Source organism: Homo sapiens, chromosome 18 (genome assembly GCF_000001405.40).
Source record: "Homo sapiens chromosome 18, GRCh38.p14 Primary Assembly".
NCBI classification, from domain to species: Eukaryota; Metazoa; Chordata; class Mammalia; order Primates; family Hominidae; genus Homo; species Homo sapiens.
In genome coordinates this window covers 10,717,898-10,745,103 of record NC_000018.10, presented here as the reverse complement: position 1 = coordinate 10,745,103, position 27,206 = coordinate 10,717,898, and the positions used below count along the sequence as shown (strand labels likewise).

The 27,206-nt window shown below is 41.8% G+C and overlaps 1 protein-coding gene and 1 pseudogene across 11 annotated transcripts in view; one reads left to right on the top strand and one right to left on the bottom strand.

Annotated features, from left to right (window-relative positions):
* The window catches only part of PIEZO2 (piezo type mechanosensitive ion channel component 2), a 479,323-nt gene that overhangs the window by 404,466 nt on the left and 47,651 nt on the right, over positions 1-27,206 (top strand). For 10 of the 11 annotated variants that reach the window (XM_047437735.1, XM_017025918.3, XM_047437736.1 and 7 more), the window contains 6 exons: positions 873-962; positions 2,489-2,610; positions 4,002-4,073; positions 8,394-8,500; positions 13,583-13,697; positions 26,845-26,904. In XM_047437735.1, coding sequence (XP_047293691.1) covers positions 873-962; positions 2,489-2,610; positions 4,002-4,073; positions 8,394-8,500; positions 13,583-13,697; positions 26,845-26,904 — 566 coding nt within the window. Of the gene's footprint in view, positions 1-872; positions 963-2,488; positions 2,611-4,001; positions 4,074-8,393; positions 8,501-9,773; positions 9,873-13,582; positions 13,698-26,844; positions 26,905-27,206 lie in introns of all 11 variants that reach the window. The other variant, NM_001378183.1, reaches the window with a different exon arrangement.
* On the bottom strand, positions 19,643-20,544 carry KIAA0895LP1 (KIAA00895L pseudogene 1; annotated as a pseudogene).

Below are 27,206 nucleotides of genomic sequence, written 5' to 3'. Positions count from 1 at the left end.
TGTGTTCCCTCTGGGAAGCAGGAAGCTAGGTCATTTACTAGGAGTGAAAAACCACTCCACAGACTTCAAGACTTGAGAAAAGCGTAGCAGAGTTTGAAACAGCCACTGTAGAGAAGCACAAGACTTTCCAAGGAGGCGGGGGCTCTGCAGAGAACCATCTGCCCAAGCAGGTGTTTTTTCCAGCAGCTGCCAACAGCCCCTCTCAGGACAGGGCGGGCACACTGTCAGGTTCCTGCAGATTTGGGATTTGTGAAGCATGTAACAGTGTGACAGAGTTGAGAATGTGAAGAAGGTTGAGGAGATTTATGGAGACACTGAGGTTGACCTGAGAAGTGAGAAAGAACAGAAGGGAGTGGAAGGACAGGAAGAAGAGAATCAGGGACAAGAGACTAGATGTCCCACAGATGGAGCAGGAACTGGCCTTCACATAGTCCCTGAAGGAATCCCCAGTTTCTGCTAATTGAGTAGAAAATGAATCTGACTGTACCCTTTTTGCAAATTTCTCCTCTTGGTATAATTACAATAAGGTCAGGTGAGAATGCTTTACTGAAGTCTAACGTTCAGTGGGACAGGTTTGAAGAGGCTCGTGGGTGTCAATGTCTTGGAGAATACAAAACACTTTCTCTTTACTGATCTTCACTACTGGGCTTGTGAGCAGCCCCTTCACTCCCAGGGGGAAGGCTGTGCCCTGTTCACCCAATGGGAAAAGGCTTCTAGAAGGGGCCTTGTTGACTCCTGCTCCCAGCCAGGAAACTACAAGCAGCTGCCATTAAGAGATGTTATGTTTTCTAACCCTTAGTAATAATTTTCAGGAAAAGGGGAACAACAATGGCAAGAATATTGACTTGTTCATGTTTCCACTTTCCCTTTAGAGGAGCTGAACTTTTCCAGGCCACAATTGTAAAAGCTGTAAAGGCAAGAATTGAGGAAGAGAAGAAGTCCATGGACCAGCTGAAGCGACAGTAAGGATGCTATTGATGCTCATCCTCCTTCCGTCTTCTGATTGTGTGACCACATTCAGCTGGTGCTCCACTGTTGGGGAGCCTCAAACCCCTGAAAAATATATATGTATGGACTTTCACAACTTCCTATTTATTTATTCTTGTGCGGGGGCAGTTGCTCATGCCACTAGACTGAAAGTGAAAGCAGTTTAACAGAAAGATCGCTCCAGCATGGTGGAGGTGGGCGCTATCTTGCAGAGGACCAGGGATCAATTGCTAGCTGAGTGACTTACTTTAGAACCTTGAACAGGTCATTTAAGTCCTCTAAATTTGAGTTTTCTGTTTTTAAATTAGGGCTCACAATTCTGCCTTCCTGGGTTTTTGTAAAGATTAAACTAGCTAATGAATGACACAAGGTCTTGCTCAGTGCCAAGTACTTGATATAAGCATTCATTACATCTAAGGGAGTAAATGTGGAGTCAGCTTTGGAAGCATAGTTTTAGATAATATCATCCAGTCTCTTTGGAAAGAAACTGATGACCCTGGTATTAGATGACTTAAGAGTCAACACTAACTAGAGGCAGCACTAGAAATATAAGCCAGAGTTCTTTATATCCCATCTAAGGTTTTTCCCACCATCCCATTCTGGATGGGCCAAGGGGTAGACTGACTCCACTCCGGAGACTTGGGAATTCCATGGAAAATAATCTTCTTAGAGTGAAATTTCCAGCAATGATGGAACCTCTGAGGACTGTTTGGGGACCAGGTTTAAAAGGTGATGGCCATGGAATTATAAGCCTAGATACTTTCCCCAAGCAAATGGAGACACCATTTGCCCCCTGGGAAAGTTCTGTAAGTTTGCTAAGGCAGTTTTATCTCATTCAGACCTTATTTCCCAGCTTTTTTTCCCAAGCAGAAATATTTCTTAGTATAAATTAGATTATTCCACAGCATTATTATTTTCATAAAGACATAAGTTATATATAAAAATTATAATGTAAATGCAATATGGTACAACTGTTTTTATTGGTGTTTCTAGTTATCCAAATCAGGTCTAGAAGAATAACAAATTTGGACTCATGTTTAGAATATGTTCCTAATTTCCCATAAGTGAGGTCTATTACTGTAATTCTCTTTGCTAAATCTTTCCATTTGTTTAAGAATCCAAAACTTGGGAGAATAAAGGACTTGTATTTCATAATATGCCATGTTCAAATTGGCTATGATACAAGATGTGAGTGGACATCAAGTATAGCTTACCTAACTTTAGCATAATCATTATTGATCATATTATTAAGACTGGCATCTATGCAGTGCCAAATAACATGGGAATACACACACACACACACACACACACACACACAAATATGTATATAAAAGAAAGGAGATCCTTGTTGCTAATGAGCAACCATTTTACAATTCACAAGTATTCCAAAGTAGTTTGTCCACGAATTTAGCTATATACGTAACAGCATAAGTCCAAAGTACTGACCACATGAGAACAATGAATATGTTCTTGGCATTACTAATGTTATTTTACTTTATAGGATGGATCGCATCAAGGCCAGGCAACAGAAATATAAAAAGGGTAAGGAGAGGATGCTGAGCTTGACCCAGGAGCCAGGGGAAGGCCAGGACATGCAAAAACTCTCTGAAGAGGATGATGAAAGTATGTCAAGACATTTTCCTCTTATTCAAGTTTTAACATTGAATAATAGCATGATATTGAGCAGGGCTGTAAAATAACATTACTTCTTATTCTGCCAAGATTATCGATACACTTTTTTGATTCAGCGAGCTTTATTTTCCCATTGTGAATGGATATATTCATTAGTTTCATAAAGTATGTATTTGATAAATCAATTAGTTTACAAGTATCCACTCTTCAGCAAGATAGCTTTAACAAATACATAACCTAGCTTTTGTTCCACAGACATCTGTTTCTGCAGTAGATTGGCAGGATTTTGTTTAATTTGTTTCTTTTTTGGTTTTGTTTTGTTTTGTTTTTGAGACGGAGTCTCGCTCTGTCCCCCAGGCTGGAGTGCAGTGGCGAGATCTCGGCTCACTGCAAGCTCCGCCTCCCGGGTTCACGCCATTCTCCTGCCTCAGCCTCCCGAGTAGCTGGGACTACAGGTGCCCGCCACCACGCCCGGCTAATTTTTTTTGTATTTTTAGTAGAGACAGGGTTTCACCATGTTAGCACGGATGGTCTCGATCTCCTGACCTCGTGATCCGCCCACCTCGGCCTCCCAAAGTGCTGGGATTACAGGCGTGAGCCACCGAGCCCAGCCCGCTTAATTTGTTTCTTTAAGGGATATATTTCCGATATACAGTATACTGCTATCTTTTATTTCTATAAATTTTATATGGAAATGAAATATGTATGTGTATTTTATGTGGCACCTGACCATTGGTACCTAAAATATCATTCAATCGTTGCCTGCTCAAATGAAACTTACCATGAAATATATATTGATTATATCTAATTATGGATTTATTATATCAAATTAAAGTTTAAAGGATCTTTTATAGAGGCTTGCATGCTTCTCTATGTGAATGGAAGGGAGAAATAATGCATGATATTTTCCCAGTGCATAGTATCTATTCATGACCAGGAAATTTATATTTTCCAGCCATGCATTAAAATAATCACAAGAAAAAATTCTGCTTATTGTAATTTATGTACTTTAACAAATTATTTGCCAGTAAATGATTCTGTAAAATTTGGGGGATGCTTCCTTTCTGTTAATACAATGGAATATTCAATGTGAGATGTATTTTTGACAGATAATCCTTTCTTTTTTATATGTCTTTGTATGCCCTCAGTCACTAAGAAGAAAGTGAAGATGTAGCATACTGTTAAAAGAACAATTAGTATTTATCTTGTGAAATTGACTGTTAATACATGTATATTTTTCAGATTCAGTATAGTTCCTTTACCTGACCTCTGATATACTTTTGCAATTTACCTAGATTTGACAATTGAGTTGTTAAAGCGTGGTTTTCAAAATTTGTTTTCTCACTTTATACGAATTAATATGTGGACGTATTTTATTTTAGGAGAAGCAGACAAACAGAAAGCCAAGGGCAAAAAAAAGCAGTGGTGGCGGCCTTGGGTTGATCATGCTTCCAGTAGGTTTTCTCGATCCCCTTACAACCTCATCGACTCTAACCCTTATATCCTTGACCAGAATTCAGGCGTTCCCGTGACCCATGTGTTCCATGCATGGTTTGATCCTTGTGACTTGATAGGGGGTCGGAGTGTAGGAAAATTTTAATGTCAGTGGGTCTTTGAGCCCGGGGTCCAATTCTTCCAGAGACATCAGCACAGACGTTCTGACATTCTTGTGCTGGCTGTAGAAAGCCAAACACGTGGCTTATAGACTCTAGGGCATAATTTATGGGCTCAGAAAGGGAAGAAGAATTGAATATTATATTGCCCAATTCTGAGGTCGAGAGCCCTATTCACATACATATTTTATGGCTAAATACCCTTACTAAAAATGAGCTTGGGCTCCACCTTGGACTCTGATTTAAGGATGATCATTCTATTCAAAGGGTCAGTGACCCTTTCTCTGTAAGGCACTAGGCATGGATGCCAGTGAGCCTCCCCTCCCCTCATTCCCACAGCTTTGATTTTATTTGCATTTAAGGATTTTTGGCAATTTATTAAATAGAAAGATGAGGGATAACTTAAAATGCACTCACTTTCTTACTACGCCTCCTCCCCAATTTCAAAAAGGCACTCTAAATTCCAATGCCCACATGTGGCACAGCCTTCAAGCCACCTGATGCTCAGAGACGACCAATGAACAGCAAAAACCAGAAAACTATTTTTAAAAGCAGATCCTGATAGCCACATAGAATGCAGTGTGTTTCCCTCCTGATCATAAAGATGAATGAGGAATTCTGGAACTCAGTGGCTATATTTGCTCTGCTTAGCAAAGAAAATATCACTATAGGTCGATGGGATTATAGTGGAATGCCCCATTCCAATCCAGTCCTCTTTAAATTTCATAGAATATTGAATAATTATTATTTTGCAAGTTACGTATAATGTCGTCTTCAGTCTTTACATGATGTCTCCATACTTGCAGCTAATCTAACTGGACAAGGAATATCACTGAGACAAATAACATCACACAATTGTAGGAGTGAATCTACTAGGAGGATATTTAGAATCACTAGGAAATCAAATAAAGTAGAACTTCTTCCCATACCTAATTATTGGTTTCACATAGATCTGACGTTGGCCTCTCTCTCCCAAGACATAATTTTCTAAATCGGCAAGCTAGTTTTTAATAAAGCAATATTTGAAATTTGCTTGGTATATCTGGATGTAATCAAATTTAATCCCAAATATTGAATTTCAACATTACAACAAAAAAAGAAAAACACAAGATTAGAAAGAGTTTTATTTAATTTTCTCCCCAAGTCCAAAGACAAAAGATTCCAGTCGGAGTCCAGTGTGACTCTTCTATTTACTGTTCAGGGTATGACAGTCACGCTAACAATCTGGTAAATGCAGTGCACAAATGCCTATTTCTATCAAGTCACAAGTAAACTGTGCTTTTCTTTATGTTTTTAAAGGGCCTCTGCTAATTTAGAGAGACCTATCCATTTCAAAATTGTGTCATATTGAATGTTTTTTCACCTCACCTGGGGTAAATTCCCACCGCGGTCATTGTGGTTGCCTTTCCTTTCCTCATGTAAAAATCGCATTTGCAAAGGAATTGGATATGGTCTGTGATAACTATCTTACAAGTTGTAATAATATAAAGAACTTCCTGTGAATGTTGTTGACTTTAGATTTTCTGGTTCATTTCACCCTCATTATATCAAGTTATTGAAGATTGATGTTAAACTACATGTGCCTTGTTACAAAACCTTATGATGCAATAATGCAGAAATGTGTGTAATTCATAGTTTGGAATCATATTCAGACTGTGGTGTTAAATTTTTTGCTGCAAAATGTATTTCTTTTTACAAGTGAATGAAGAATGAAAGGGAAAGAATGTGTGCTGTATTGTTGTGTCTATGATGAGTTCCAGAATTTATCTTTAGATCTGGAAGTACTTTGTTGGAAGCCCTTAATTTGATCTTTTGAGTAACTGGGCTTTCAAACAGCTATTTCTTAGAGAAGCCAAGTGTAAGAATTAGTGTAGTTGGATACACATGTGTAAATCTATTGACAATACAAAAATGTTGCTATGTTCTTGATGTTATTAGTAAGCAGTGAAGATTTTAGCATGGTCTGTATAGGGACAGATTTCCTACTTCCATACCTATGTACACACACAAGATTGCATTATTGCTGTTCAATGATACCTTCCATTCCAATACCTTATGTTTCAATATTGGTTCAGTACTGCCTAAATTAATACCAAGCTTCATCTTATTGATAAATATCTGAAACAGAAGGCCAAGTTCTGAGGATAAAAGTAGTGGAATTTAAAAAGTTAATTTCCAACTTAGTAATTTAGCAGTAACATCAACATCCATGATATGTATGTGGACACAGGCTGGAGTCAGGTTCGCCATCTGAGCTAACAAACACGTGTGTAAGAGCTTTTCTACTCACTAATTTAACAGATGGCATGAATGAAAATGTGCTCTGTCATTTTCCTAGTTTCATTTCAATAACATTTTATAAGGAAATAAGAGACTTTTTTACATTTTCTTTTTTCTTATGTGATAATTCCACTAGCTCACATAAATATTGGTGGTTTCTAATGGTAAAATCAATGTTACCACTGCTTGAGATGAAAACCTTTTGAACTTGTCCATATGAATAAAAGTTATCGAAGGTATGATTGAATACAATTTAAGCTAATGTTGATTTTGGAACCTATAATGAGGGTAAAATTCTCGATCTTATAATAGTCTGTGTTTTCCCAAACGACCACGTGATGTAGAGTCCACATCACTTTCCTGCAAATCTCTCGGCTTATGTGAAGGCATTACTTTAATGGTCTTCTTCACTATCAAATGTAATGCTGTAACTTTGGTTTGTTCTTGCTTATTCTCACTTGTGTTGTATTGCATTTATTTCCCAAGGCCTGGACCCAGTACTCTGGGCCTGGTTCTTTCTTCAAAATGAAAATAACGAATGACAGTGCTTCTGTTCAAGGATATAAGGCCCAATTCACCCACTGTGTATCTTCATGAATGGAGGCTTCAGATTTTTCTGAAATCGTGGGCAAAATTACTTAACTTTTGGCCATGTGAAGTGATATTCAAGCAATTAATTTTAAACAAGCCAAGGTTTTCCATTACCTTACAATGTATAGGCCCAAAAGACAACTTAAGATCAAAATATGTCATCCAAAAGATGCCTGAGCATTTGAAAACCTGAATATAATTTGAAAATATGTTTTCCTGCGATGATGGGACATTGCTTGTAGCATCAGAAATGTATATGTTGGGCCTCTTTTCTCTGGTAGACTTTAAATAATGATCAAACTGATAAAGATTTAATTTATTAAATTTCCTTAAATCTCTGTACGTTGTAGTTTTCTCTGCTCCCAACTCTTGACACAGGCATTATGTTCTTGCAGGGAAAGTATCAGACAAGGCAAAGACAATCCATACTGTTTGTGCTTTGTGTCTTGTGGTCAGTAGAGTGCTCCTCAAATTTCAGAAAGCTGCTGGGGAGTTCCTTGTTGACCAGAAGCCTAGCAGTTGTAAACCCTATGGACCCTGTCTGCCATTCTCAGTCTGTCTTAGGGCTACGACACGTGGAAGCAGCCAGAGCGCTGTTGTTGGTGGTGTTTTTGTTGTTACTGTCATTGTTGTTGTTGTGTTGTGTTGTTTTCAATGTTACCTGCCCATTTCATCCTCATGGCAGTGTGTGCGTGTTTTTTTGTTTTTTTTTTTTCAAATGTCTTGCCATGTATGTTTTGTCCCTTGTGTTACATGTGGAGAAGTCAGGTCTGCACAGTGTAAAGTGAAGGAGGAGATTGGTGACACTGACCTTGGTCCTGAATCGTCCTGATTGGCTTATCTGCAACGGTTTGGGCCCATTCAGACAAAGCCTAATCCTCCACCTCACTTTGGCCTTGTCTGAAGACCAAAATTGCTGAATTTTGAAATGATAGTGTTCAGTTATTTTGGTCATCTAGATAACAAAACTGGCTGCTGCAGAGTTGATCTGCTTCATCTATGTAAATTTTACAATGAAGAAGGGAGAACATACCAGATCCACCCTGTAGTGGCCAGTTCTCTTACATGGCAAAGACAAGGCCTCATACTCTGTAGACCCAATATGCCAACACCGCGTAGCATTAGCCGAAGATGAGTTCTCTTCATCTTGTGTGTTTTCCTCTCTGCCAACATCTTTCGTTGTGGTTCTCTTATGGACAATTTGTGTATCTTTAGGGGACATTTCATTAATAAGCCCCCAATTTCCTTATATGTCTTTCAAGAAATGAGTGAATATTTTGTTTTGCTTAGTGGTCAGGAGTGGAGATTATTATTTGTTTGAAACGGATAGTGAAGAGGAGGAAGAGGAAGAATTAAAGAAGGAAGATGAAGAACCTCCACGAAGGTCAGCATTCCAGGTAATTATGGGGAAAATCATTTCTTTGCTAGTTGGAAGAGCTTTTCTTATTGACGGACCTTCATTGCAGGCCTAGACACCTCCTGTAATATTCATATGTCATAGCTCCCCGAAGCTTCTGATTTACATCTGCAATTCTTTATTTCTAATTAAATTGTAATGATGCCTGCTCCCAGCAACACCGTAATTAGTATCAAGCAAGAACCATGTACAGCCCAGGTTTTCATTCACTGGCACTGAAACAGTTCCTGATACTATAAACAAAAAATAAAGCTTCGTTGGGTGAACTCAATGTTTTTCTTGCAAGCAAAGTGAAAAAGACTTCTCTGGCATTGCATTGGATTGCTTGAATGGACTTACATTCAATGTAAGGCGATAATGAAAACAAAATCCTTGCTTTGTTGTGGAGCAAATGATCATTTAAATGTTGCTTCAGAGTTTGAAAACCGTTTCATATGTATTGCTAAAGATTTGAGAATATATTGAACTAGTAATAAAAATATGTGGCACAGTTCTGGTTTTTTCAGCTTAGCTACCTTTCTGTTTTAGAACCTGCTGTCCCATTCTCAGCTATAGCTCACCAGCCTAATGTAGCATATTGAGTGAATGTGAATCAATGCTTGTTAAAGATGAGGCTTTGTCATTAGAGTCATGTATGGGATGAAAATTGGTCTGTGTTTCTTTTATCAATTAACTACACACTAGGGCTGTTATTTCCCATTTGTTTTCCTACGAGGCACATAGAGTGATGTCCATCAAGCCACATGATATGCCCGTGATAAGGCCTTCGTCAGTTTTTTGGCCAGGACTTCTCAAGTGGGTGGGGCCCATCCATGCTTGTTTCCCAGTGACATAGAAAAACTGAATTCTCCATAGAGACACCTTGGTCTGATGCTTTCTTTCTTCCCCCATTGCTTCTTGTGTCTGTTTCTTCATGACCGGGTTTTTGTGCATGTTTGCAGCTGGCTTATCAAATACTAATGACTTAACTCATTTATTTTTATTCGAAAGAGTTTTCTTCTAACCACCACTCATCGTGCAGCCAAGGAGAGAACATGAACATCTTCACTATGTTGGATGGATTACATGCAATGATTGACTATTTTCTTTATTCCTAACTTACAAGCAGAGCACATTTTATTCTAGCTTCAGTGACTGGCATCTTTTAACCTAGTTGGTGTAACTGTAGAGACAAATTCATGCTGACATCATATATTAAATTACTAGTTTTTGGTTTTTTCTACTAATTACTCTTGCTTTGTCCTTCTTTGTAGAGAGCTATTGGGAAGTTTGCATCAGCCATTTTAGCCTTGCCAAAGTCTGTCATTAAACTTCCCAAAACTATTCTTCAGTATTTAATCAGAGCTGCAAAGGTATTTGATGTTTTACTGATGTGTAGTGTGTGACTCTCTGCTCTGTAGAAATGTAGAGAAATATACCTTCATTGCCCTATCTCTGCATTTTCTCGGTTCTATAGATGGTACCATGAAGGAATTACAGGAACGTAAAATATTAGAAAAAGTTTTCCAAAACAAGTTCTTAGAAGCCGAAGTTCTTATTATTTGACTCTTGCTCTTAAGTGGACACCAGTAACTATCGAAAAATAGAAAGAGAAAATGCAGATACAGATATACTTGCTGTCCTTCTCATGGTGTTGCCTAAGTCACATCTCATTTTAAAAGGGTCACATCTGGTTGCATGAATCAGTTCTGATGAGTAAAAAGGGTGATAATTTTTCTCAGAAAGCTGGTAAAATTCTGGATAAGCTAATAAAAGATGTCTTTTACTCCGTCTCTCATTCGGGTCCCTTTCAGTCTCCGTCTTCCAGTTTCTGCACTCGGTACAGCCAGCTTCTTCCTGGGCTGATCCACCCAGTGCAGTCTGCGGGCTCCTCAATCCCACAGATCCATGCTAGGGCTTTTGAGTACACTGTCAAAAATTATTTGTTGATTAACCTAATGCACAGTTGAAGTTATTCAGCTACCTATGCTGTAGTCGCTTCGTTACGGAAAAACATTAATAATGAATTCCTATTCTTACATTTTATAGAAAGCCCTTTCTCCTGAACTCAGTCAGGGGCAGCCACTAAAATGCTTTGCTCTGTATGTCCCTCACCTGTTAAGCGAGTAGTTCGATAGTGACATAGACCAGTGCTTCTCACATTTTACCCTGGGGTCTTATTTAAATGCAGGTTCTGATTCAGCAGGTCCTATGGGACCTCACAGTGTGCATTTCCCTCAAACTCTCATGTGAAGCACAACCGTGGCTGGGCCTTGAGTAGCACCATCCACACCTCCAGGTTCCTTCTGCTTTTAAAATGCCAGGATCCTGTTTTTTAGTGTAGTATTTACCATTTCTGCTTCTCCCAAATTCTTTTCCTTTTATTTTCTATGACTACCATATGACTTTCTCAATTCATATTTTAGAATTTATTTAAATGAAATATAACAATGTAATTATCCTCCATCTTAGTTTCTTTTCAAAAAAATTATCTTACAGACAACATAAAGAAGGTGCTAGACCACACCTGAATCAAAGGACAGATGATGAAACTTCACCAATTTCAGTTAAGGATCTCCACTTTGATAAAGCTCTCCCTGTCTTAAAGAATAAGTGTATTTTCACATAAGTTGTTAGTAAAACAAATCCTATATTCCCCTGATATATATGGTAAAATTTAAGATAAAGTCAGGAACGCATGCTACTGGTAGTAGCTCTTTGGAGAGCTCAAAGGTCTTTCATGTAAATTTCCATGTATTTTTCTACTCCTGGTTCATGGAGCTTGTGTCTGATTTTCCAGAGAGGCGCATCCAGCTGGCTGACAGGTGCAGGTGCAAAGTAAGAATTGGGAAGTTCTGGCTGGGCGCTGTGGCTCACGCCTGTAATCCCAGCACTTTGGGAGGCCGAGGCGGGCAGATCACGAGGTCAGGAGATCGAGACCATCCTGGCTAACACAGTGAAACCCCGTCTCTACTAAAAATACAAAAAATTAGCCGGGCGTGGTGGCAGGCGCCTGTAGTCCCAGCTACTCGGGAGGCTGAGGCAGGAGAATGGCAGGAACTGGGAGGCGGAGCTTGCAGTGAGCGGAGATGGCGCCACTGCTCTCCAGCCTGCATGACAGAGCAAGACTCCATCTCAAAAAAAAAAAAAAAAAAATTGGGAAGTTTGGTAAGAGCCTTCCATTTCTTGACTCAGTAAGGATTGGGACGTTTCCCCCTCCTCTTCATTGTCAACGTTTTTCTGACCCTCTTAATAATTCCTGGAACTGTAAAATGTTTCTATTTCAAAACATCAAAGTTAAGATAATTTACCTACAAATAAGGAATTACCCTATGACTCCCTCCTCTCTCCGTTTTCCCCAGTTTGCATACCTCAATTCTCATGGCAGTGAGGCAGCACTGACATGCTTCTTCTTTAGGGGTCCTTTGTTGAGCCAGGAGTGCCCTTTTATAAACCAAAATGTTAATGGCACCCACCCTTTCTACAAGACTTCTTCGATTCCACCCTTCACATCCCTTTTCCTCTCCCCTTTTCCTCCCAGTTTCCTTTTTCTTCAGAGAAAAAGAATTCCTCCAACTTGTGCGCCTCATATTCACAAATCCTCAATTACTTTTTTGTTTTCTATTTTCGGGATTCGTGCATCATCTAAAAGCAATATTGTGATAACACTTTTTTAAAGGAAATGTCACCATATGTTGCTCTTAAACCTGAAAATTTCTTATGTTCAGTAATCAGATTATTTTAAAGCAATCAATATTGTGCAGAGGCAAGTTGCTTATTAATGTACTATAACTCAAAGATATTCTTGATAGAATTCCCAATTAACACCCAATTAACATAGCCAATAAACATCTACTAAAAATTCCTTTATTCAGTCCTCCTGAAAATTCCAGTTCGTCTTCCCATTATTTAAAATATGCTTTTGGCATAAAATAGAATAATTTTTTGCCTCCTGGAATTTGTTATTCAGAAATAATACAGATGTTGCATTTGTTTTAATTTCTCGTGAAATTCAGATTTCTACCAGTGAGAAAAAAAGAAACAGTTTTTCTATTATAGTAACCTATGACCCTTCCATTTCCATATATGGAAAAGTTGAGTCTCTCTTTACTTTCTACTGACTTCACAATGCCACTGATTTGCTTATGCTGTGTTTTTCAAAGATTTCAGAAATCTGAAAATACTATAGAATAAGATGAACAGATCTGGGTTTAAAGAGCTCCCAGAAAACATTTATTTAACTTTATCATCATAATGAAAAACCCAGCTTCCCTGAGACCCAGGTGTGTTTGTGGTGCATGAGAGGCATGCCTGCTTGGCTTCTTGTTGCTATATGGCTGACTTTTTCTATCAAGGTTTTCTTTTTGTTCTTTCTGCATGATTTGGGAGACTCTTGGTATGGGGGCTCTTCACAATTGCTCTTTCCTGGTTCTCAGTTATAATATATTAATGTAACTATTTTCAGCTCTTGACTGAAAATGACAAAAGGCAACCAAAAGCCCCACAGTTTTTCTTTAATGCTATTCTGGAATAACTCCTTAACCTTAATATCACATTTTTTTTCCTCGCAAAGTACTAATCATTCTCCAAATCCCTTTCTCAAGTCATTGGTAATAGCTATTATTCAGAAGGGAGAGTATCAAATGCACAAAACTATTTTCCCAAAGTAAATAAGACTACTAAAGATGTTATTTTGCTTTTGACTCAAAGTTTACTTGTGATGGGAGAAAGTACTGATACTGAATGAGACTTCCAGCTTATACCTATTGTGGACAGTGCAAAAGCATCAGTAATAAGTATCACAAATTGTGGTGAGATGTAGGGACTTGGGAGAAATGATGGTTTATTTGGTGTACCCAAAGTTTATCTCATGATATCTGTGATACCAGATGAAATATATTACTACAACATCTGTTGTCTTTTTCTAAAAAAAAAAATTGAATCTCATGATAATAAAAATAGCCCGGGATGTTTAGTTTGTGTTGGGAGGAAAAAATATTTCAAAAGTCAGGAAGCTTGGTGTAGGTCCCTTTTATTTCAAATTATTAAAAGGCCAGAAAATAATTGAACTTTCTCCCTTCAGTTTGTTTATCAAGCCTGGATTACTGATCCTAAAACAGCACTCCGACAAAGACACAAAGAGAAAAAAAGGTCTGCAAGAGAAGAACGGAAACGAAGGCGGAAAGGATCCAAGGAGGGTGAGTGGTGGGTGGGGTGGCTGTGGTGGGTGTGGCAGGTTTCAGGCTGTGCTCCCCAGCCTTGTCTGCAAAGGACAGAAACTTCTGAGGGATTAAGATTTTTAAATTCTAAAGAATGCCAACAGTTTTAATTTGTCCTAATTGGTCATTTCTGACACTTGGAATAAATTAAAGCACAAAGTTAGGAGATATATATATATATATATATATATATATATATATATATATAATCTTTTAAGTAGGAAAAAAGGAGAGTTGCAAATGAAACCCAAAAAAAGTAGAAGAAAACTTATTTCTTACATGGATATTAAGTAATAAAAAAAAAGAAATACTACAGGACATGACCTGATCAAGTTAAAAATTGTTCTTAGAAAAAGCTAAGGCCAGGCGCGGTGGCTCATGCCTGTAATCCTAGCACTTTGGGAGGCCAAGGCGAGTGGATCACGAGGTCAGGAGATCGAGACCATCCTGGCTAACGCGGTGAAACCCCGTGTCTACTAAAAATACAAAAAATTAGCCCGGCGTGGTAGCGGACGCCTGTAGTCCCAGCTACTCGGGAGGCTGAGGCAGGAGAACGGCGTGAACCCGGGAGGCGGAGCTTGCAGTGAGCCAAGATCGCACCACTGCACTCCAGCCTGGGCGACAGAGGGAGACCCCGTCTAAAAAATAAATAAATAGCCAATAAGAAAGATGAAACTTTGGCAATTTAATCAAGAAAAAAGGGAAAGCACACTTAAACAACACTCAGAAACAAGCAAACAAAAGGAACATATATTCAGCGTTATACCAAGATATTTGAAAACATGATATAAACACATCTCTAAGGGTAAAAATATTTCAAACTATAATAAAAAAATCAAAAGCGAAGTTGAAGTGCAGGTGATTCACTCAGGAGCAATATTTTATTGTATATATCAGACTAAAGATGAGTATTCTGTGTATGTTAAGAACTGCTAGAAATCAAGAAAAGAAAAATTCAATTCAATCAATGAGAGCGTGTGAAAAAACAATTCACAGACCAGAAAACAAAAATGACCAAAAGGTGCTCAGTCTCACTATAATACAAGAAATACAAATGAAATATTCTGACATACTGTTTTCTTAACCCATTGGATTGACAGGAACCTAAACATTGGATAATGTCACTGCTTGGGAGCTAGTAGGAAGATAAGTACTTACATATACCATGAGTTGTATTGTGAAGTAGTAGGTCTACTTTGAAGAGTTGTGTGTCATTACCTGCTAAAAGCTCAAGTGTTACATATCATAGTACAGATCAGTCCCACGCCTAGGTGTTTGGCTTATTCTATAGCAGTACTTGCACATGTGCACAAACACACATGTCTAAGAGCATTCATCAGATGCTATTTGTTAATAACAAAAAATTTCGAAACATCCTAAATGCCCATATGAAGAAGAGTTAAATACATTATGTTACTAATATATTATGGAATGTTATTCAGTTCTTTCAAAATGAGATTGATAGCTTTGAGCTGGTATGGAGAACAATTCCTGACACATTATTAAGTGAAAAACAACAGACTGCAAATGGCACGCACATTATGAAATCATGAAACAAATGAAGTCAGAGTAGTACCTCAAGACAGTATTTTGCATTTTTAATGGGTGCATATAATAACTTATGAATGCAAGAGAAAGATCAGGAGGAATATTCACTCATTAGTAACAGTCGTTACTTCTTGAGAAAGTGGAGATTAAGTGGCATGATTAAAGATAAGCCTCATCTGTTGTATTTTGTTTCTTTTCTTTTTTTTTTTTTTTTGAGACAGAGTCTCGCTGTGTCACACAGGCTGGAGTGCAGTGGGGTGATCTCGGCTCACTGCAACCTCAGCCTCCCGGGTTCAAGCGATTCTCGTGCCTCAGCCTCCTGAGCAGCTGAGACTATAGGCGCACACCACCACGCCTAGCAATGTTTGTATTTTTAGTAGAGACGGAGTTTCACCATGTTGGCAGGTTGGTCTTGAACTCCTGACCTCAAGTGATCCGTCCACCTTGGTCTCCCAAAGTGCTGGGATTACAGGCGTGAGCCACTGTGCCCGGCCTGTATTTTGTTTCTTTACAAAGGAAATGTATCCATAGATGGCTTGTGAAATATAAAAGGCATTAAAAAATAAAAAGGAAAAGGTAATTTCTAATGGAACTCTAATTACAAAGTCTCTTCTTTTTGACCTTTCTTCTCCCGATACATCCTAGTAACTTTATCTTACTTTATTGCTTTAAGAAGACAAAATTAATACACAATTGCTGGAACAGGTCAAACAGTAAAGAGGTACACGTATAATCTGCCCCAACCCAGTCACCTCAAAATCCTGTCCTCTAAGGTTACAAATCCTAACAGTATGTTGTGTTCACTTTCACTTCATTTCTCATGTGCACACACGTATGCAGGTGGTTTCCTTTATTGGTTTTTGTTTTTTTTTTTTTTTTTTTTGAGACAGAGTCTTGCTCTGTCGCCCAGGCTGGAGTGCAGTGGCGCCATCTCAGCTCACTGCAAGCTCTGCCTGCCGGGTTCACACCATTCTTCTGCCTCAGCCTCCCACGTAGCTGGGACTACAGGCGCCCGCCACCATGCCCAGCTAATTTTTTGTACTTTTAGTAGAGACGAGGTTTCACCATGTTAGCCAGGATGGTCTCGATCTTCTGACCTCATGATCCGCCCGCCTCGGCCTCCCAAAGTGCTGGGATTACAGGCGTGAGTCACTGCGCTGGCCTATTTTTTTTTTCAATAAGTTCATGCTTTACAAATTACTCTTTCATTTTCATTACCAATGTCATGAACATTTCTCCAATTAAGTATTTATAAAATCATATCATTCTTTTTTAATAGCTTCAAAATATTCCATAGTGCAGATATGCATAATTTATTCAATCCTCTCACCTTTAATGGACATAAGGTTGCTTCCGGATTTTTGCCACAATGAACAGTGCCATAATAGATATCACTGCACAAACATTTATACGTCATAATATATATGAGTGTGTTTAAATGCTTAGCAAAGGTTAGGAAGAACATGCATTTTCCACAGAACAGATTCGCAAAAGTGGGATGACTTATTTAGAGTGTGCCTGTTTTTACTTTAATAGATATTTTTCGGAAAGGTTTTAGTACTTTGCCCTCCTCCATGTGAGGGACAAGAGTGTCCAATTTCCTTTGGCCTCACGCACAGGATTTTACTCCTGTTTTTATCATTTTTCTTTCTAAGGATGACAAATGGCTTTTATTTTCATTTGAATGTAGTTGAATTCTTAACTAATTAAACTGAGCATTTTTATTTCACATTTTGTTGGCGATTTTTTCTTTTCAAGTCTAGGATTTAAACACTTTTAGCATTTTCCTGCATCGTTCTGTCGGGTTGTTTGTTCTTATCAATTCATGCTATTTATATGTCAGGCTTCTTATCCCTTTTTTTCTTTTTTCTTTTTTTTTTTTGTTATTACTGTTTTAATTGTCTGGCTTCCCTCTGGACTGGGAGCTCAGTGAGGATTCTGACCAGTAACTTACACAAAAGGCGCTCTGCACCTCACCTGGTCCAGGAGGGGTTTAGGACTTGGGCCACCAAACTCTAGGGCCTGTCCCTCAGGGACAACTGCAGCTGCTCCTAGGCTATGCCAGCCTGTGCCAGAGACCAGCTGTGAGGGTGTGGGCAAAGACAGGAAAAGCAGAGGCCAGTGGAGGGAGTGGGGACAGGGCCAAGGGAGCTCTTGGGCTTGATTCACAAGGCCTGAATCACTCTGTATGTGTGTGTGTGTGTGTGCGTGTAATGGGAGTGGGGCTAGGAAAATCGGTGCCTTCCAGAAGGAGTGTCTTGTTCCCTGCCATGGAACCTTCAGGAGCTGCTGCTCCCAGCCACAGGAAGTAGATCATATAAATATGGAATAAATACATGACCAGTGAGAGAGGCAAAATGTTGGAAAGCACACCCCAGACCAACTGGGTCTCTACTACCCCAGGTAGTACCCCAAGCTCAGGCCATCAATCACCCCAGGAGAAGGGATCCCGACCCCCACCAGGACCCAGTGAGAAGCAGACAGCACGAATGCTGAAGGAGCACCAAGGGGACAGGTGAGGGAAGGGAGAGACTGGAGTACCGGGACAACCAAAGCCATCTTATGCAAGAACAAGTTTCTATTCCCAAACCACCCTCATCCCCATCAATGCTCAGCTCCCTTCCTGCCCCCATGCCTTCCCTCTGCTCAACACAGAGCTGGAGGCAGGAGGGCGACTCAGTTTGCCAGACATGCTGCTGCAGATCCCCAGGCCCCAGGGAGGCTAGCAAGGGACACAAACCCTTTGATGTTGCCACTCCTTCTCAAGGAATGCTCCTGCCCTCCCAACACCCCCCAAGAAACACCCAGACCGTGGAAGCACAGAGCAAACAGCTTCATGTTCTGGGGGCCTATCTGGAGCTTCTGTCCAGGGCCTCTGTCTGCAGCCCTCAACCTACATCAGTCGGGCAGCAGGCGACCCAGCTCCGCCACATCCAGCCGGTTGGTGGCCATGATGTGCTTCAGCTGCTGCCGGTAGCGTGCCAAGTCCTGCATAAGGTGGGGCATCCGGGTATTATCCAGCACCCCATGGGGCCGCAGGTGGTCCACATCCTCATAGGACACCTTGCCCAGTGAGGTCAGCAGCGGGAAATCGATGGTCTGGCGATGTCCCAGAATGCACAGGATGCCGTTCAGGTACACCTGGTCCTTGCTGAATTAACTTGGCAGCGAGGTGTCTGTCTGGCCGCGCTTGGCGCGCGCGCAGTACTCCCAGCGCACGTCGGCGTCCCGCACGTAGCGCGCCAGGTCCTGGAAGAGCTGGCGGAAGGACAGACGCACAGCGTGGCGGCTGGTGTAGCAGAGCAGAGCAGCGCAGCGCGCCACAGGAACGGCTGCTTGCGGAGCAGCACGCTGTGCAGGGTGGCCAGGCCCTCCTCGTGGGGTTCGCCGGCCGTAGCCCGTACCGCAGCCGGCCCTCCGCGTTGTGCCACGGCTGGCGCGCGTTGTTACCGCCCCGCAGGTAGTGGGTGCCTGCGGGGAAGGCGAAGGGAGGCAGCGCTGGGCGGGGCGTTCGGGGACCCACCTGCTCCACCTGGCCGGGGCTCTGGCCGCGACGCTTCCATTCTCATGCTCCCGAACACAGGCTCGCACACAAGCTCTTCCAGCCCCAGGCAGCGTGAAGCCCCTCCTCCGGTGGACTCGCACCCAAGGATCCACAGTTGCTCACATATATGAATCCTCTCCCACCCATCCCCCCACCACCCTACACCCACGCACCCACACACGTGCACGAACTCTCCCGAACTGACATTGCCCCCAGCCCTCCTGGACACAAGAATACATATACCACCCTGCCCAACATCCTGGGTGCCCATATTATTCTGAACAGTCACGCTGATGCCTTCGGTAAAAACCACCTCTTGCCCAGAGCAACAGGATTCTCGATGAAGAGGGACAGACAGATAGAAATAGTGGTTAGTGCCCTGCACCCTCCTGCCCAGCCTGGCCAGTCGCCTCCTAAACCAGGCGCCGTGTGTCCTCAAGCCAAGTCCATTCCCAGGATCTGGCCTTCCATCCACCCTGGAGGGCCCGCGTGGTGGTTGGCCTGGTGGGACCCTGAGCGTTCTCCCTCTGGCCTGTCAGGGCCTCACCAGCCCTGCCGCCACTGTGGAGAGAAGTCGGAGAGGAAGTGGAGAGAGAAAAATATACCCGAAAGGACCAAGAGATGAAGGCGAGCCCAGAGCGTGGGCAGGCATGTTCTGGCCTACCTCTGTGAGCCAGAGGGCGGAGGCGGCTGCTCAGGAAGGGAAAGCCCCGACCTCAGGAGGGACAGGGGAGAAACAAAAGGGGGAGTTAGTGGGGCCCCTCCTTCCCACGACTCCCAGCTCCCAGGCCCCTTTCATGCCTACCCATCCACCCGGATACCCACACCCTGACCTATTTCATGCCACAGCATGCCCTCCAACCAGTACTGGCGGGCTCTGGTCAGGTTGACCGCCAATGTGGGCCGGCTGTTCTCCACCATCATCACCGCCTGGGACAGCAGGTCTTCACTCAGCTGCACCACAACCTCTTCGACGCAGCCCTCCTTCTGCTGTATTTACCCACAATGGACCATATCTGGCACTTGGTGAGCAGCTGCCTGCCGGTGGCAGCCTCAAAGTGTTCGTAGGTTCCAAACTTCTCCAGAACAGCCTCAATGATGCCAACTGCCTGATGGATGAACTGTCCAGAGGCCTCGCAGTACTTCAGCACAGCCATAGGCATGGGCTCCTGGTACTCGAACTGTGGATTGTAGGTGTAATGCGACTGAAAGAACTTGTCTCCCTCACGGTCCACGTTGGTTGGCCGCAGGGCCACCAACATGCAGGGGCTCTTGCTGGCACTATGGCCTGCATCGCTTTGAGTCTTAGTAATGTGAGGCAGGGAGGCTGCAGGCCGCAGGGTGCGCCCACCTGGGTTCCATCGCCGTCCAGGTGGAGGCTGTCCCAGGGTGCCACGCCCCCGCCGGCCAGTACTATTTACAGAGTAGGTGCTCTCACTGCGACGCATGTGGCCGCCGTGGCCCAGGTGCATCTGTGAGAACGACTGCTGCTCAGGCTGGGGCTGCAGTGCTGGGGGGACTGCCAGAGCCACGGGCAAGGCCAGGGACTGAGACCAGGGGTACAGTGGTGGCCCATCTCGGTCTGAGTGCTTCAGCCTATGACGCAGGGACAGCAGACTGGTAGGTGGGCTGGTGGGTGCCTGATCATACGCCTGAGACCCCGAGTCCAGCACCATTCTGTCTTGGGGGTCACATCCAGCTGGGTCACTCCAACTCCCCACACTGTCGACTTCTGGGGACACAGAAGGGTATGTGGAGACCAGCATGAGTGGGTGTGACCAGAGGACCAGCAGGCCCTGTACTCCGCATTGCCTTTGGTGGGCCCAGGCTCTGCTACCAGGGGTCTGATTGGCTGCAGCATGCATTGCCTCCAGCAGACTTCACCCAAGTATGCTGGGCCAGGAGAAAGCACTTTTGTTTTCGTTTTTGTTTTTTGAGACAGGGTCTTGCTCTGTCACCCAAGGTGGAGTGCAGTGCAATGATCATAGCTCATTGCAGCCTCCAACTCCTGGCCTCAAGTGATCCTCCCACCTCAGCCTCCCAAAGTGCTGGAATTAAACGCATGAGCCACCATGTCCAGCGGAAAGCAAGAGTTTTAAACACCCACCTAGATGGTGGTTACTGGAATCCTCTAAGCCTGAGCTCCTGAAGGCAAGGACTGAGCCCCTTATTCATGATTCTAATCTCTGTGCTCAGCACTCACTTAATCTGGGAGGTGGTACAGTGCAGCCACAGCTGCCTGGGCTGATTAGGTAGGTGAGAAGGCCTCAGGGGCTGCCTTCTGCCTATGGCATCTTCTCAGTGCCACCCCTGCCCACCCACCTGGCTTTACCCACATCCTCTTGCCCATTTTTCCTCAGTCAATTTGAATGTCTGAGGGCCCCATGCTTATGCCAGTACCCCCCAGAATACCCTCTCTCCTCTGAGCCATCTGTTGAAATCCAAATTGGAATCTGCTTTTGGGGAGCAGAGGGAAGCTTCAGCAAATCCAAGCCAATCTCTGCCTTGTCCCCTATCTGAGGGATCTTTCGAGTGGTCATCCAAGGCCAGTGACAGGGCGCTCACCCCAACTCTGTTCCAGGACTCAGTCCAATCCCGTCTCCCCCCAGAGACTGCCTGGAGAGGCTCCAGCTGCCGAGCTCCCTTGTCTGGTCAGCAACTCCCTTCCAGCATTTCTCCTCTCTCCTACATCATCAATCTCTTCCTCTCTACTGGAGTCTTTCCATCAGCATAAACACATGCTGTTATTTCTCCATCTTAAAAAACAAAACAAAACCCTCACTAGTACCCACCCTCCTCCAGCTACAGCCCCACTACATCTCCCTCCATCTGCTCCTATTGCAGCACATACCTCGAGTCATCTATACCCAGTCTCCAGTTCCTTCTTTCCCGTTCTCTCTTAAATCCACTCCAATTAGCCTTTTATTCCCAGCTCTCCATCCAAATTGATCTGATCAAGGTCACCAATGACCAGCAATGACCTTCATATTGATCAGCACCCAATACAGTTAATCACTGCCTCCTGGAGGCCAGGCGCGGTGGCTCACGCCTGTAATCCCAGCACTTTGGGAGGCTAAGGTGGGCGGATCACCTGAGGTCGGGAGTTTGAGACAAGCCTGACCAACATGCAGAAACCCCATCTCTACTAAAAATACAAAATTAACTGGGTGTGGTGGTCCATGCCTGTAATCCCAGCTACTTGGGAGGCTGAGGTAGGAGAATCGCTTGAATCCGGAAGGCAGAGGTTGTGGTGAGCCAAGATCATGCCATTGCACTCCAGCCTGGGCAACAAGAGCAAAACTCTGTCTCAAAAAAAAAAAAAAAAAAAAAAAAAAATCACTGCATCCTGGACACATGCTGTCCACTTGGTTTTCCAAACACACTCGAACTTAGTTCTCCAGTTCTCATGCCTTGCTGGTCATTCTTACCTTCCTGACCTCTTAACACTGTAATATTCCAGGACTTGTCTATGGAAACTTCTTCATTTATGTTCACCCGCTAGGTGTTCTCATCCACTCTCGTGGTTTTAAATACGTTAGCTCAGACTTCTTCCATAAACTTTAGACCAGTGTGCCAATTTCAGTGCAATTTGAGATTATCCCTTTTTTGTATGTTTCAGATATTTTTTCCAACCCAAGACTTATATTTTGATTTAGTTATGGTATATGTGGTCTAAGCAATTTTTATTTTTTTTCTTGTGTCAAATGGGTCTAAATTTCCCCTTGCAGTTTCCAGGTTTCCATCTTGCTTTTAAGAAAGTCTCTTGGCTGGGCACGGTGGCTCACCCTGTAATCCCAGAACTTTGGGAGGCCGAAGGGGGCAGATTACGAGATCAGGAGTTCGAGACCAGCTTGGCCAATATGGTGAAACCCTGTCTCTACTAAAAATACAAAAAATTATCTGGACATGGTGGCACGCACCTGTAATCCCAGCTACTTGGGAGGCTTAAGTAGGAGAATCACTTGAACTTGGGAGGTGGAGGTTGCAGTGAGCTGAGACCGCACCACTGCACTCTAGCCTGGGTGACAGAGTGAGACTTTGCCTCAGGAAAAAAAAAAAAAAGTCTCTCCTCCCAAATATGATGCAGATGTTTCCCAGATTTTCTATTAATTTTACTTACATCTTAATTTTTTTTTTTTTTTTTGAGATGGAGTCTTGCTCTGTTGCCAGGCTTGAGTGAAGTTGCACAAAATCAGCTCATTGCAACCTCCGTCTCCCGAGTTCAAGCAATTCTGCCTCAGCCTCCTGAGTAGCTCGGATTACAGGCACATACCACCACACTTGGCTAATTTTTTGTATTTTCGTAGAGACCGGGTTTCACCATGTTGGCCAGGATGGTCTAGATCTCCTGATCTTGTGATCCTCCCACCTCGGTCTCCCAAAATGCTGGGATTACAGGCATGAGCCACCGCACCTGGCTACGTCTTAAATTTTTATTCTATGAAGTGGAGATCTAATTTGTTCACTTTTAGATGGATAGACAATTACGTTATTCCAGTTTATTAAGATGATTCATCCTTTTCCTACTGGATTTAAATGCCTCATTTGTCAGTGTTAGGCTCTCTTTCTTCTCGGGTGTGTTTTCAGACTCTGTATTTTGATCTTCCCTTGTATTGTCTCGCTTTGAGTCAATGCCACATACTGTTGAGTCTAGTAACTATAGAGTTCGTTTTAATTTTTAGTGAGGCAAACTCCTCTCACTACCTTTTTTTTTCAGAATTGTGTTTGCTGTTCTCAGACATTTGTCCTTCCGGAATGTTTGGATCAGAACAAAAATTTGTTCTTTGGTCATCTTGAAAATAGCTCCTTGCTCTGTGTCATAAAGATTATTTATTGTGCACAGGCAGCACTCTTAACCTACCAATCAAAGACAGCAATAACTTAAAGATACTCTTTTAATGAATCTTTACTCAGCACTTTCTTGGTACGAGGCGTCATGTCTTCCAGATAGATGAAGCACATGGATCCCATTCTTCTGAAGTGCCAGCTGTTGTCATATGTGCCTTATGTATACTGTAGTAACTAACTCGATCCTTGCAACAGCACAGGGTCATTTTATTATCCCTGCTCTACAGAGGAGCAAATAAGGTCCCAGAGAATGAAGCAACTTGCCGGAGGTCACACAGCCATTCAGTGAGTAGTGGGTCTGAAATTCCTACTAGACTTCTTTGTTCTAAAGCCTTTCATTGTAACTGGTAGGCAAGATAAGTATAGGGAAAAAATTCCTAATGATATCAAAACTGCAAAGTTCCATTTTAAAAAGTAGAGATAAATTAATGTGGGACCTGAGGGAGAAAGGATTTCTTGTAGCCAAGTATGTCTTCAGGGAATGCTCCATGAAGAAGGGAGTATTTGTACACAGCCTGACATTCTAGCAGAAGAAAGCAAGCCCATGCATAAAAAATAAAGAGCAGGTCAGCTTAGCTGGTCAAGACCGGATGTGGAGCAGCAGTAGTAAAGAGGATGGCAGAAAATAAGTTTGAGAAGATTCTTGGAGTCAGATCATGAATAACCTTAGATAGGGTAACCAGATAAAATGCAGGAAACTGAGCCAGGAGCTGTGGCTTATGCCTGTAATCTCAGCAACTTGGGACGCTGTGGTAGAAGGATCACCTGAGCCCAGGAGTTTGAGACCAGCCCGAGCAACATCTCTAAAAAGATTTTTTCTTAATATAGTCAGGTGTGGTGTTGCACACTTGTCCTAGCTACTTGGGAGGCTGAGGAGGGAGGATCACTTGGGCCCTGGAGGTCAAGGCTGCAGTGAGCTATGATCACACCATTGCACTCCAACCTGGGCAACAGAGCAAGACCTGACTCTAATATATATATATATATATATATATATATATATATATATATATATATATATATATACATACACATACACATACACACACACACACACACACACACACACACACACACACACAGAATATATATAGGACATATATATGAGATATATATATTATATATATATATATACACACAGAGAGAGAGAATATACATATGATATATGTATTCTCTCTTTATATTACCTGGGCTCCATATATATATATATACACACACACACATATATTCATATATACATATATATATCCTCTCTCTATATATGAAGCCCAGTTTGAGTTTTTAACATAACAAATAATGTTTAGCTTAAGTATAATCTGGACATATTTCATGGAACATACTTATACTTTAAAAATATGAAGATTTAAGATACCTACCTCAAACTTCACGTCATTATTTGAAAATTCTCAAGATGTACTTCCTCAGAGCAACAGTATGACAACATCCTCTATCAGATGACAGCATCAACACCAAATTATAAATGTTCTAGCCTCATCCCTGGGTCTATTTTGTGTCTCCTAACCTGATTTTTTCATTTTACTTTCTCATCTACCTGTTATCCTTCTATATTTCATATGTAACCCTAAACCACCTTATATCCTTTTTGTAAAAAGGTTTATTTGGAATCAATCACTGGTACCCAAATAAATAAAATTAAAACCTCAAAAAAAATGAAGATTTCTTAAAGAACTAAACATAGAACTACCCTTCAATCCAGCAGTCCCACTACTACATATATATTCAAAGGGAAGAAAATCATTATATTAAAAAGGTACCTGCACTCACATGTTTATTGTAGCACTATTCACAATAGCATAAATATGTAATCAACCTAAGTGTCCGTTGATGAACGGAGGACTGGATAAATAAAATGATATATATGTATATGTCATGGAATACTACTGTGCCATAAAAATGAATGAAATCATGTCTTCTGCAGCAACATGGATGGAACTGGAGGCCATTATCCTAACTGAATGCAGAAAGTCAAATATCTCATGTTCTCACTTATCAGTGGGAGCTAAGCAATGGGTGCACATGGGCATACGGAGGGCAGTCATAGACACTGGAGATTATCAAATGCGGGAGAGTTGGGGACAGGGGGATTGAGGGTTGAAAAATTACCTGTTGGGTACAATGTTTGCCATTTGGTGATGAGTACACCAGAATCCCAGACTTTACCATGACACAATATGTGCTTGTAAGGAATCTGCACTTATCTCTCCTAAATATATTTTTAAATGTTCTTAAATTTAAAATTTCTTGTTTATCTTACATTCAAATTTAACTGGTTATCTTGCACTTTCATTTGCTAGATCTGACCTTTTTAGCCTTAAATAAGAGGCTATGAAATGAAATGAAATCCTATAATGTCATTTTAAGATATGACAACCATTTTCTATAAAGAACCTCATAGCAAATTTATTTATTTATTTATTTATTTATTTATTTATTTATTTATTTATTTTAGACAAGGTCTCACTCTTTTGCCCAGGCTGGAGCGCAGTGGCACAATCACGGCTCCCAGGTTCAAGCAATCCTCCCACCCTCAGCCTCCCAAATAGCTGGGACTACAGGTGCGCACCACCACACCCAGCTAATATTTTGATTTTCTATATGTTGCCCAGGCTGGTCTCAAACTCCTGGGCTCAAGCTATCCTCTCTCCTCAACCTCCCAAAGTGCTGGGACTACAGGCATGAGCCACTGCACCCAGCATTGATAGTAAATATTTTAAGGTTTACTATTCATGAAGTCTCTGTTGCAACTCAAATCTGCCATTATAGGGCAAAAGCAGCTATAGATAATATACAGACAAATGGGCATGACTGTTAATTTCACATAATTTTCACATGCACCAAATACTATTCTCCTTTAGATTTTTCAACTATTAGAAATATAAAAGCCATTCTGAACTCACAGGCCATTTGGCAACAGTCAGCCCACGAGTACTGGCCGGTACCCACCAGCGAATGTAGTTTACACATCCTTGATTTACATAATTTTTATGCTGGCATGGAGTAAAATAATCTAAGAGCTATGAATTCTAACAACCTTTCCCCAAGGAACTCTTGAAATAGAATGTCCTAGAGTTAATTACAAAATTCCTTTTAATCTAGAAGAGTAACATTGGCATTTAATTTACCCTAGATGGAATTTAACTCATCTTTATTGAACACACTTGGCAGGTCCTGTGGAATGGGAAGACCGGGAGGATGAACCAATCAAAAAGAAATCCGATGGACCAGGTAACAAAATAAAGACAAATATGAGCTGTGGGAACTTTGAAAATGATACCTGCCCAGATCGTATATAATGGAAGGCTGCCTGAAAAATTGTGAATCGAACACTGTTTTCTGGACTATGAGTAAATAATCAGTATCCCTTGGAATCTCATCTCCACTGAAATTGCAAAATGACTCTTAAAAGTAGGTCTGGACTTTATGCAGTTGGATAAAATGTTGAATTAGTGTCAGTTTGTAAATTCCTTTATGCAAGCACCTATGAAAGAGGCTTTTAGGGAGCAAATTCTTAATGTCCCATGGAAGCC